Genomic DNA, 12,856 nt, shown 5'->3' on the forward strand with positions numbered 1-12,856 from the left:
TGAGGGAAGGTTAACCAGGACTAGTTTGTTTGTTTTTTTTTCACTTTGAGGCTTACTTACAGGCTTTTTAAAGTTTTAGTGTAAGGTTATAGTATATTCCCATTACTTAGGTAATAATTACTTATGAATGGTTTCCTTTTGAGAACTATACCAGATGTCTTATGCAATAGAAGGTCTTTCCACTCTCACTGGTGGGAATACAAACTATTCTGAGTTCTGTGTTTTTCGGATTCTTTCCTTAGCTTTGAGTAGTTTCCTTTTTTACACACACAGATCAGTTTTTACTTAACCAAAGACTCCAGGGATAGTCCTCAACAGATCATGGAATCCCTCCCTCTCCTCCTTCCTTCTCTCCCCGCCCCTCTTTTTTCTCTCCAGCTCCTTCTTCTTTGGTATTCTGCTTCATAAATTCGAGCTTTCCTGGCTCCCAACCTCCATTCGTTTTCTCAACTCTGAGAGAGAACTAGGCCTGTAATCTGTTTCTGGGCCATGATCTAGTACAATCCTAGGGCTGACCTAGTTTCCCTTCTTCAGATCACAGTCCTGGGATGCCTATTATCCAATATCTGAAAACTGTTATGTCATAAATTTTGTTTGATTTTCTAGGTATTTATAGTAGCAGGGTAAATCCAGTCCATTTACTTTATCATGGCTGTAAACAAAACAGAAAAATGTTCTTACTATCAAAATAAATGGCAATTTATCTAGTTATTCTTTTTTTATTAATTTCCAACACTATCCCATTGTAAATAAAGAACACAGTCTATATGATTTCAATCCTTTGAAATGTGTTGTGTCTTGCTTTATGGCTCAATATACAATCAACTTTTTGTAAATGATCTTTGTGCTCTTCATTTACATTTAATGTGGATAATGATATATTTGGGTCTATATCTACCAGGTCATTATAAGATTTATGTTTGTCCTATTTGATCTATGTTTCTCTTCCTCTTTTTTTCCCCTTCTTTTGGTTTGATTTTTTAGCTTTTTTTTTTCTTTTCGCACAATTAGTTTGGAAGAGAAAAATAATTAATTTTTAAAAAAATCAATGAAACAGAAAGCTGGTTCTATGACAAGATCAATAAAGTTTATAAATCCCTAGACAAGCTTCCTAGAAATAAAAGAGAGAAAATACAATTTACCAATATCAGAATGAAGGAAGAGACACCACTAAGGATTCTGCAGACATTAAAAGAATGGAGGAATATTATGAAGAGCTTTATGCCAAGTTCAACAATTTAACTGAAATTCCTTGAAAGATACAAACTACCAGAGTACACTCAAGAAGACAAATAACCTGAATGGCATCATATATACATTTTTTAAATGAAGTTAATTAACCCCGAAAAGCCTTCCCACTAAGAAGACAGCTGCAATAGTGAACTCTAACAAACATTTAAGGAGATCACAAGAAAAAGGTCAATATATAAAAGTTCATTTAATTCTAGAGACTACCAATAAACAATACAAATACAAAAGCATCAAAACATACTATCTACTTTAGGGGTAAATTTCACAAAATATGTGCAAGACTTGTACACTGAAAACTATAAAATACTGCAGACAGAAGTTAGAGAGACTTGAATAAAGGGATATATACCATGTTTGTGAAGCAGAAAACTCAATAGTGCTATAATGTCCATTCTCCTAAAATTGCTCTTTAGATTTAATGCAAGCCCCACCAAAGTTCCAGCAGCATTTTTATATCTATATAAAAAGATTATATTATATATAATATAACCTTGTCTATTTCTAGATATCTACATATTTCTATATTATCTATATATAATATAGATATTTAAAATCCATATGGAAATGCAAAGGGCCCAAAAGAACCAAAACAATTTTGAAAAATAGAAAGATTTGCACTATAAAACTTACTATAGATTTTAAACCTATAGTTAATCAAGACAGCATAGAGCTAAAGTAAGAACAGACATATAGGTCAATGAGACAAAATAATGTGCCAACGTGCCAATGTAACTCAATCATCTTCATCATCTCCTCCCCCTCCTCCCCTTTCTCCTTCCATATGGATATTCAATTGTTCCAGAACCATGTGTTGAGAAAATGAAGAAGGAAGAAAAGGAAGAGGCAGTGGATGGAGGAAGAGAAAAGAGGTGAAAAGAAACCAACCATTACTTTATACCATATACAAAAATCAATATGAAATGGATCATAAGGTAATTGATATAAAACTACAAACACCCAGAAAAAAAGCACAGGAGAAAATCGTTGTCCCCTTCGGTTAAGGAAAGATTTCTATGATATGACATAAAAAGCATCACCTGTAACAGAAAAAAATTTGATAAACTGGACTTCATCAAAATTTAAAACTTCTGCCCTTTGAAAGACTTTAACAAAATAAAAACATAAGCCATATACTGAGAGACAATAATTGTGAAACATATCTGATAAAGGATTTGTATCCAGAATGCATAAAGACCTCTTAAAACTCAATAATAAGAAAATAAACAATCCAATTTTTTTAATGGGCAAAAGATATTAACAAATCCTTCACCAACAGAAGATATACGGAAGGTAAAAATACAAATGAAAAGATGTTTGAGATCATCAGTCATTGGAAAAATGCAAATTTAAGTCACAAAGGGATACCATTATACACCTATCAGAATAGCTAAAATTAAAAACAAAAATAAAAACGACAATACAAAGTGCTGGCCAGAATGCAGAGCAAACTGCTGCTCTCATACAGTGATGGCGGGAATGATTACAAATATTTTAGAAAAATGGGTTGGTAGTTTCTTACAAAGTTAAACATACCATACCTACATATGGCCCAGCAATCCCACTCCCAGGCATTTATCCAAAAGAAATAAAAATGTATGTTCATCCAAAAATCAAAACATGAATGTTTATAGCAATGTTGTTTATAATCACCAAAAACTGGTAACAAGCCAAATATCCTTCAACTGGCAAACAGATAAACAGAGGTACATCCATTCAATGGAATACGACGACAAAATAAAAATAAACTACTGATACAAACAATAATATGGATGAATCTCACATGCATTATGCTAAGTAACTGAAAAGAAACTCAAAAAAGGCTTCATACAGTATGATATCATTCATATGACTTCCTGGAAAAGGCAAATTTATAAGGACAGAAAGGAGATAGATTGCCAGGGGCTGAGGGAGGCAAGGAGAAACAGATGATAAAGAGACACGGGGGAACTTTTTGAGGAGATGGAAATGTTCTAAACCTCAATTGTGGTGGTGATAACACCACTATATGTGTTTGTCAAAGCTCATAGAATGATACCCTAAAAAGGATGAATTTTACCGCATGTAAAACTACACTTAAAAAAAAAATAATAGTCCAGTAAATGAAAAGGCAAGCCACAGACTGGGAGGAAATATTTACAAAACATCTGTCTGATAAAGGACTTCTATCCAGAATACATAAAGAAACTTATAACTCAGTAAGATGACAACCTGATTTTTTTTTTTTTGACACGGAGTCTTGCACTGTTACCTGGGCTGGAGTGCAGTGGCACGATCTCAGCTCACTGCAATCTCCCCCTCCTGGGTTCAAGTGATTCTCCCACCTCAGCCTCCCAAGTAGCTGGGATTACAGGTGCCTGCCAGCACACCCAGCTAATTTTTTGTATTTTTAGTAGAGACAGGGTTTCACTATGTTGACCAGGCTGGTCTAAAACTCCTGACCTCATGATCTGCCCACCTCAGCCTCCTAAAGTGCTGAGATTACAGGCGTGAGCCACCGGGCCCAGCCGACAACCTGATTTTTTTAAGTGGTAACAAATTTTAACAGACACTTCATCAAAGCAGATATACAGATGGCAAATAAGTACATGAAAATATGCTTAGGCCGGGCGCGGTAGCTTACGCCTGCAATCCCAGCACTTTGGGAGGCTGAGACGGGCGGATCACAAGGTCAGCAGATCGAGACCATCCTGGCTAACACAGTGAAACCCCGTCTCTACTAAAAATACAAAAAATTATCCAGGTGTGGTGGCGGGTGCCTGTAGTCCCAGCTACTCAGGAGGCTGAGGCAGGAGAATGGCGTGAACCTGGGAGGCAAAGGTTGCAGTGAGCCGAGATCATGCCATTGCACTCCAGCCTGGGCGACAGAGCAAGACTCCGTCTCAAAAAAAAAAAAAACGAACAAACAAGCATTATCTAGAAATTCCACTTGTAGGTATCTACTCCAGAAAAAGTCTCACTGTGTACATAAACATTATGTGCAGTATCATTTGTAATAGGTAAAATGTGGGAACAACTTATATCTACCAATGGGAGAATGGATAAATAGAATTACTGTATATTCACATATTGGAATTCCATATAGTAGTGAAAGTAAATAAAGTAGAAGTACATGTAACAAGCCAGTAAATCTTAAAAATGTATTAATTATAAACACTGCAGGCTGGGTGTGGTGGCTCAGGCCTATAATCCCAGTACTTTGGGAGGCCAAGGCGGGCAGATAAAGAGGTCAGGAAATTGAGACCATCCTGGCCAACATGATGAAACCCTGTCTCTACTAAAAATACAAAAATTAGACAGGCATGGTGGCACGTGCCCACAGTCCCAGCTACTCCAGAGGCTGAGGCAGGAGAATCGCTCAAACCCGGGAGGCGGAGGCTGCAGTGAGCCAAGATCGCGCCACTGCACTTCAGCCTGGGCGACAACTCAAAAACAACAACAACAACATTGCAAAAGAAGAAGATGTTATTTTTATATTTTAAGACACACAAAAATGCAAAGTATTGATTACAGATGTAAACTATGTAATCCTCATATATTAATATAAACAACGATAGAAGAATACCAACTTCAAGACAGTAATTACCTTCTGGTAAAGGAATGCTGGTAACGGAAGGAGCTCCACGTATTTCTGGCAAAATCTCTACCTCTCTTTGTCCCAAAACAATCACTCCCTCAATTCCGTATTTTTGCCTAAGGAATCATTAAAACTAATCACATCATGCTGTACATGGCTACTTACCTCAGTCACTACAAAAAGCCTAAAATACTCTGGTCATTATTCATAACCTGCAGACTTATTCCTTGCATCTGGGTACAGCACCTCGTCTGACTCCATTTTCCACCCTTCTAATCAGCGCCATTATATTCTCTGACACTTTCATCAGCAAAATCCCCTATATTCTCAAACTCTTCTCTGAATGTTCCCATCTTTTTCTTTAACTGAAACCTGGTTCTCTCCCAGGGATCCTCCTGCAACCCTCTGAAATAGCAGCTGTTTTCTCTCCCATAACCCTCATACCACCAGGCCTACAGGTGGGGAAGCTTATGCCTTTATACTATGTCACCTGCTACCATTGCTGGTTGTCCATTAAACCCCAGGTCACTTCCCTTATTTTTAAAAAATACCAGTACCTTGTTCACTGTCTCTCCAGTGCAATCCCAGTAATAAGTATTGGTGATTTTAATATCCATACAGATGGTATCTCTAAACCTCTGACCTCTTCATTCCTCGACCTCCTCTTCTCCAATGATGCCATCCTCCCTACAATGATCACCCACTGCCACAGCCTATCAGTAACAGCATCCCTTTCTAATTTCATTCCCAAGCACTCACACTCCTGACTCCAAACTTCTTTCACTCTCTCTTGACCTACAATCCACTGGTTCTACCAACTTTTTGCTGTCCCTGTCAGCCCGTTCTTGCTTCCCTCCTAACCGAAGATTCCACAGTCGATGTTCCAACCACTCAACTTTTTTGCTTCTCCCTCTGTTCACTAACCTGGCAAAACTTCAATCCTGATTAAATCCTATCTCTAAGCCTTCAGTGCTTTAACCTGCAGGCTGTAGCTGGAGAAAAACATTCACCATGTAGCTGGAGAAAAACATTGGTAATACTTTAAATTCATAAGCACTAACTTCAACAGGCTATTAGTCCTATCGAACAATCCTACATTTCCCTAATCCATTTCCTAGAAGACAATTTCATATCTTCTTTTCTTAATATAAACCTCTGTGCTACAGGCTTCAAAAGTTTGTCCTCATCCTTTTTCTTTCTTACTCTGCTTCCTTTTCTCCACTACATGTCCAGCTTTTCTTCCCAACTGCCAGCCCTCTGAGTAACAGCAGCCTTGGGAAGACACCTGGCTGCAAAAACAAAGCCACAAAAGAGGCAATAGCCTTCCATGACTTATGTAACAGCCTCCCTCTGAACCCTACTCCAGCAGCTCAACCTGCCTAGTTTTCTAGTCTAATTCCTCTAATAAACACCTAATTCCACAATACTCATAGTGGTTCTGTTTCCCTGTCTGAACCCTGAATTTCTGCTACAGGAAGTGGTTAAAAGAAGTCCTTAAAGATATGAACCTGAAGTTGCTTCTCTGATTTGATTGAAGGTATTAATGACCAGTTTCCAATGGTAAAGGGGCTACTAGTAGTCCACAGCATGCAGTGGCAAAATATTTAAAATCATCATCTGCAGACAAGGACCTACAGAAGACAAAGCCTTGGGTAACTAACTAGTGGATGCCATAGAAGATTTTAGTAAAAATAAGTTGTATAATGGGTTAATTAGTTGTTTCTAGGTACACTGGATAATTCTTTTCTCAGGAAAAGAAAATGATGAGCTCGGAGTTTTAAAAGCACTACTCAAATCTGGGTAAGGGGGCCAGAAATCTATAACTGCCTTCATAGAAAGCCTTATATCATGTGGCTACAGGGCTGAGACTTCTACAAAGTATATCCTGCAGGTGGCTCAGTTACAATGCAAATTGAATTCACACTCTTGCAGGACATCTTATGTTAAAGTTAGGACCTTGACTGGCAAGGAATGGGGCCCTGAAAAGTAGAATGAAGATATATGGACAGACTCTGATGAAGCCAAGTACCCCGAACTCCTAAATTCTGTGACATCTTCTGCTAGTAGAAGCATCAGTCCTTTATCCCATATGTGAGGAAATTAGTCTTCCTTTGCCTGTAGAGTATATAATGGCCTCCCCTGAAACAGCTGCCTTACAGGGGACTGCTGATCTTCCTGAAGATCTACTCCTAAAACCTCTCATTATTTAGATCCATAACAAGACTCAAATCTCAAGAGGTTCTGGGGGTTGACACAAAATGTGACATGTGATGATATGCAATACATACCAAAAAACTGCAGGATTTGGCCAATTTATGTTAATGGAAAGCTGGAAAATACATATCCCAGAATTACCTTCCCTGTATGGTTCTGCCTTAGAGCTAGGCAAAAGAAAAATGTACACAACACTTAGAAGACAGACAAAAAGCAGCAGCTGTATGTTCTGAAGGTCAGGGTGGCCTAAGGTAATGAGAGGCAGGTTTAGTTTGTACTCATTTTTCTTTTTCCTTATTCTATTCCTTATTCCCCTTCCCCACTCCACATCCAGCTCTTCTTCTCAACTGCCAGCACTGCTGACTAACAGCAATCCCAGGCCCACCAGAAACTTGACTAAGAACTGACAAATGTGGTAGCTATGTGCACTGACTTCTTTATCAGTCCACCTTCACAGTGTCATGCCAGAAGCTAGGTATTAACAGTCTTTATGACTTCACGGTAGATCTGCAGGGAAAAGTTTTACACTGCATACTTTAATTCTTCCATTTTCACGTCTTATAATGAATATTTATAAGTTTTATAAGCAGTTAAATAATTTAAAACATTTCAAGCAATGCTCCCTAATTTAGAACACTCTTAGTTCCCTGGGGAAAATAAATAAAAGGAGGTTTTTCATCGTAAAAAAAATTTAAAAAGACTTACATCATTAGATTGAAACAATCGCGTCATTGCAAAGAAGGCTTCTGTAGCTTCCGTTGTTCCAAAGTGTTCACCCTAAGTAAAATTTAAAACAATTTTTAAATTTTAAAAAGTGTATATTCATATATATGTACATATACACACACAGGATTTTCTATTTCTGCAAAAATCCTTTAGAACTCAAGAAAAAAGAATCTCTTTGTAAACATTCTGCCTCTGCAATTTTTCTGGCTTTCAATGCATAAACCCACATAGCCATTTATCCCCCCTTATTTAAAATAATTCAGTATCGCATACCATGCTTAAAAGTTCTGGCATAGTGATCTCTAAACTTTTAGTAGAAAGTATCTGAAATTTTCCTGAAGTATTGTAGTTTACAAGGAGGGAGAAAATTACAGCACTCACAATAGGACATTATTATTACACTGCCTAAGAGCAGAGATCATATCTATAATGCCCAGCACAATGCCTAACATGTCATGGGAGCATAATAAATATTAAAATATAAGGAACTATCTATTCAGAATCTCAGCAAAATGGCAAGAAGGGGACCAACCAAAAGGGCAGGAACCAGATTCATCATATTAAAAAACTAGGCTTAAGGGGCTGCTATGTAGCTCAATATTGGTTCAAGCCCCTAAAAACATGCTTTGGATCAGAGCTTCAAACAGTTTAATGAGCATGACAATTCATCCTGGGATCTTGCCAAAATGCAGATTCTGATTCAGTGGCTCTGGGGTAAAGCCTGAGATTTTGCATTTCTTTTCTTTTTTTTTTTTTTTTTTTTTTTTTTGAGACGGAGTCTCACCCTGTTGCTCAGGTTGGAGTGCAATGGCGCAATCTTGGCTCACTGCAACCTCCACCTCCTGGGTTCAAGTGATTCTCCTGCCTCAGCCTCCCAAGTAGCTGTGATTACAGGTGTGCACCACCACGCCCAACTAATTTTTTGTTATCTTTAGTAGAGACGGGGTTTCACCATGTTGGCCAGGCTGGTCTTGAACTCCTGACCTCGTGATCCACCTGCCTCGGCCTCCCAAAGTGCTGGGATTACAGGCTTGAGCCACTGCGCCTGGCCTGAGATTTGGCATTTCTAACAAGTGATGCAAATGCTGATCTGGGAACTACATTTTCTGAGCAGTGAAAAAGTGTTAGATAACGTATTTCAAAACATCTCAAATCATAGATTACCTCAAATATTACCATTTCAATATTTAATGTCTTCACTAAAAGCAATCTTATATAATACGTTACACTCAATCACTTTTCAGAGCTTCAGATTCCACATAAAATATAACTAGTCTTCAATCTATTTGCCATAGGTATAAGAATAAATTTTGGTGAAAAATACTGACAGTTTAGGATAAAAGACAAAGTACAATAAGTTTATACTTACTTAAATCAGTGTATCCAGCCTGCTCATCAGCATGAGATTTATCTTTCTTTCACAACTATTTACTGAATACCCAGAAGTCTGTGTGCTTTTTAGTTATACAGGAAAACCTTACATCCTACTTTTTTACTTGAAACTCAGAAAACACATGGATATGTCAACTCTCATAGAAATTCAAAAGTATCTTTCTATAAAGCTCTACCAAGTTCTAGGCAAAGAGATAAAATTTATGTTCCCAAACCTGTTTATATAGTTAATTGTGTTTATGCTGTGCTTGGTAATTTCCTTATCAAGATAATTAAATGTTTCAACATGAGTTGCCTCATTGAAGAGGTAATGACCAACATAAAAATACATGTTACTCTCAATCAACTTTGACTATTCAAAACTTTTGTTTATACAATGGATTTGGCCAACTTAGACACAATGTGTGCTATGAAAAGTTAAACCCAATTGACTATGCTTTAAATGTTTCTCATATGCTGACACAGAGGGATTATGTTGTTTGTGAACAGATATATTTTATTTAAAACTATGTGTTTGATGATCAGGCACAGTAGCTCACACCTGTAATCCCAGGACTTTGGGAAGCTGAGGTGGGCGGATCACCTAAGGTCAGGAGTTTGAGACCCACCTGGCCAATATGGTGAAACCCCGTCTCTACTAAAAATATAAAAATTAGCCAGGCGTGGTGGTGCATGCCTGTAATCCCAGCTACTCAGGAGGCTAAAGTAGGAGAATTGCTTGAACCAGGGAGGTGGAGGTTGTAGTGAGCCGAGATTGCGCCACTGCACTCCAGCCTGGTAACAGAGCGAGACTCCATCTCAAAAAATAAAAAAAATCTATGTGCTTGTTGCTTAGTCTTCATTTGTAAACAAGAAAACTTTATTAAATCTCTGAGTGAGGTCTTCAGTCACAAAACAAAGTAAAGATAATATATTCTCTTAGAATTCAAATTGGAAACCATGGTTATCTTAGCACCATATGTAAACCACCTGAGGTATATGGTATATATGTATGTTTTATGTGTCCGTCTGTATGTGTATAGACATATATAGTCAGCCCTCCATAACCATGAGTTCTGAATCTGTGGATTCAACCAGGCTCAGATTGAAAATATTCAAGGAAAAAAAAAACTATGTTTGTACTGAACACGTACAGATGGTTTTTTGTCATTATTCCCTAAACAATACAGCACAACAACTATTTACACAGCACTAACATTGCACCAGGTATTGTAATCTAGAGATTATAGTCTAAGTATTATAATCACAGAGACAACTTATATATGGGAGGATATGTGTAGGTTATATGCAAATACTACACCATTTGTATGAGGGACTTGAGCATCTATGGACTTTAGTATCCAATGGAGGTCCTGGAACCAATTCCCCACTGATACTGAGGGAATATGAATCCATGAAACAAAATCATATTTTCTAAGGCCCTAGACATTTCATGAGTTTTTTTTAAGTCTGGGGCAAAAAAAAAAAAAAGAAAAAGAAAAGAAAAATTAATAACAACAGCAGCAAGCAGAATCTACATTTCATGAGCGCAAATATTTTTGCTGGTTTGTCTGCTATATCCCCAACACCTAAAACAGTGCACAGCACACAGCAGCTACGCAATAAATATTTGCTGAATGACGGAAGGAAAACTATTCCTGAATGCTTACTGTATGTTCAGGACTATTCTCAGTGCTTTACACTAATTATCTCATTTAGTCATTACAACTCTGTAACAGGTATTATCATAATCCCCATGTAGAGAAAAGGACATCAAGGCACATAAAATGGTTAAGCTACTGCCCAGAATTATTCTGCTAGTAATGGTAGCATAGGGATAATAAATATAAAATCTGAATATTAACAATCAAAGCTTTAAAACATCATTACACACATAAAAAAGAAAATATCTGGAATTTGCCTGATCTTGCACTGTATTTTCAGAAAAACATGAAGATCTCCAAATACATGTAAACAACATGCTCTAACTAGTACTCATTAAATTGAAACCAAAGGATTTATTGAGAATCTACTATGCGCATCACTGGTTTAGGATCTCATGAATAAAAAGGAAGTATAGGTTAAACATCTCTAATCTCAAAATCCAAAATCTGAAATGCTCCAAAATCAGAAATTTTTTGAGTGCCAATATAACACTCAGTGGAGACACTCATCAGAGCATTCTGGATTTCAGATACTCAGATTAGCAATAGTCAGTGAGTATGTATTCTGCAAATATTCCAAAATCCAAAAAAATCTGAAATCCAAAACACTTCTGGTTCCGAGCATTGCAAAGAAGGTATACTCAACCTGTATATGTCATAGTCCTCGTACTCAAGTTTTACATATTATTTTGTTAACCAAACGTTGTATATGTTAAAATTAAGTGAATTTAAAATAAATAAATATACTTTCCAGAAAGTATTTCACTGAATCTTCAGTATTTCTATTCCAGGACACACTTATCTGAGGAAAATAAAAATAATATACCTGGTTCAGTAAGTAAAGAATCTTTGTAAGAATATGCAAACATCTTCTTGGATTGATTGGAGTTTCATTGAATATACGAGCCTATGAAAAAACATAAAAAACATTGCTACTTTTCTACCTTTTCTATCACAGATTATAGCAAATCAACTTTAATACAGACTATTTTTAATCACGGTATCCAAAGAACATTGTCTATAGTTCTCAATTTACTAAGGTATCTGATAAATTATTACACGTGGCCTTGATTTTCCATCCTATACTTTCTCATTCCCTTAGGTTGACTACTTCAACTTTATGGGCTATACCAGTTAAATAAGGATCACAATACTTATCTATATCATACTAATACAATGAGATTAATACAGATAACTGATTTCAATAACCTTGCACTAAACACCTGTTCTTACATTTAAAATTCCCAACCTGTGACAGTCTTCATGTCTTTGCATTTCTATAAGCTCCAAATTCTCCTGTGACAAGTAACCCCTCTTTCTTTTCCCTCAAATCTATATTCCCTAAACTCTGTTACGTTTCTTGTTTTGCATGTCGTGATCACAGCAGCCCAGGGATTCTCTGCCCACCACTCTAAAACAGAATAGAAAAGAAAGGGCACAAGATACTTCCCAGTCATACCTCCTGTAAAACAGCACTCTTCTCCAGATGCTGGAAAGGATTGGAGCCACTACCTATTTATAAAACAAAACAAAAAAATGTCCTGAACAGCTGTTCTACACAAACTTATATACTTTCCAGAGAAGGGTACTGAATGCTTGGGAAGTGAACACTTGGATGGCACAGTGATAATCATGGCTAATACGCATACGAACTGAATGAAATCATTTTGATCCCGGCTCTGTCACTGCCATACTCGAAGAGCTGAGACTTCTCTTTCGCAGCAACCCTCTCCAAAATGAGTGTCTTCTTTCCCTGCCCTCTTTTTCCATGAATGTTAAAAATGTGTCATTTCCACAACAACGAAGATTAATGAGATTGTAGTAGGGTGCTTTTGATTTCCTTAGGTAAGCAGTATTTTATGTGTTTCTAACACTTAAGGAGAGGCAGAAACGAAGTTTCCCAGAGAATCATGCAGGCGTAAAGGTGCAAGAGGCCATGGAGGTTGACTAACCCAACCCCCTCTCACACTGTGGGAGATGCTACCAAACACTGAGAATTTTTTTCTTTTTGAGGATGCTTGGCATCTTCCCCATTTGCTCTGGACCAAAGACGGGC

At 37.2% G+C, this 12,856-nt stretch overlaps 1 protein-coding gene across 2 annotated transcripts in view, besides 1 other annotated feature; it reads right to left on the reverse strand.

The window, feature by feature from the left end:
- COPG2 (coat protein complex I subunit gamma 2) overlaps positions 1-12,856 on the reverse strand; it is a 162,511-nt gene that overhangs the window by 148,985 nt on the left and 670 nt on the right. For both annotated transcript variants that reach the window (NM_012133.6, NM_001290033.2), the window contains exons 2-4: positions 12,260-12,312; positions 11,627-11,707; positions 7,745-7,816 (exon numbers count right to left, since the gene is read on the reverse strand). In NM_012133.6, the coding sequence (NP_036265.3) occupies positions 7,745-7,816; positions 11,627-11,707; positions 12,260-12,312 (206 nt within the window). The remainder of the gene's footprint in view (positions 1-7,744; positions 7,817-11,626; positions 11,708-12,259; positions 12,313-12,856) is intronic.
- Positions 12,729-12,838: an enhancer, noted in NCBI's record as "active region_26657". NCBI's record gives its function as "activates an Ori minimal core promoter by ATAC-STARR-seq in GM12878 lymphoblastoid cells {active_cell/tissue: GM12878}" and the evidence as "EXISTENCE:reporter gene assay evidence [ECO:0000049][PMID:35858748]".

Source organism: Homo sapiens, chromosome 7, assembly GCF_000001405.40.
Source record: "Homo sapiens chromosome 7, GRCh38.p14 Primary Assembly".
In the NCBI taxonomy this organism is placed as follows: Eukaryota; Metazoa; Chordata; class Mammalia; order Primates; family Hominidae; genus Homo; species Homo sapiens.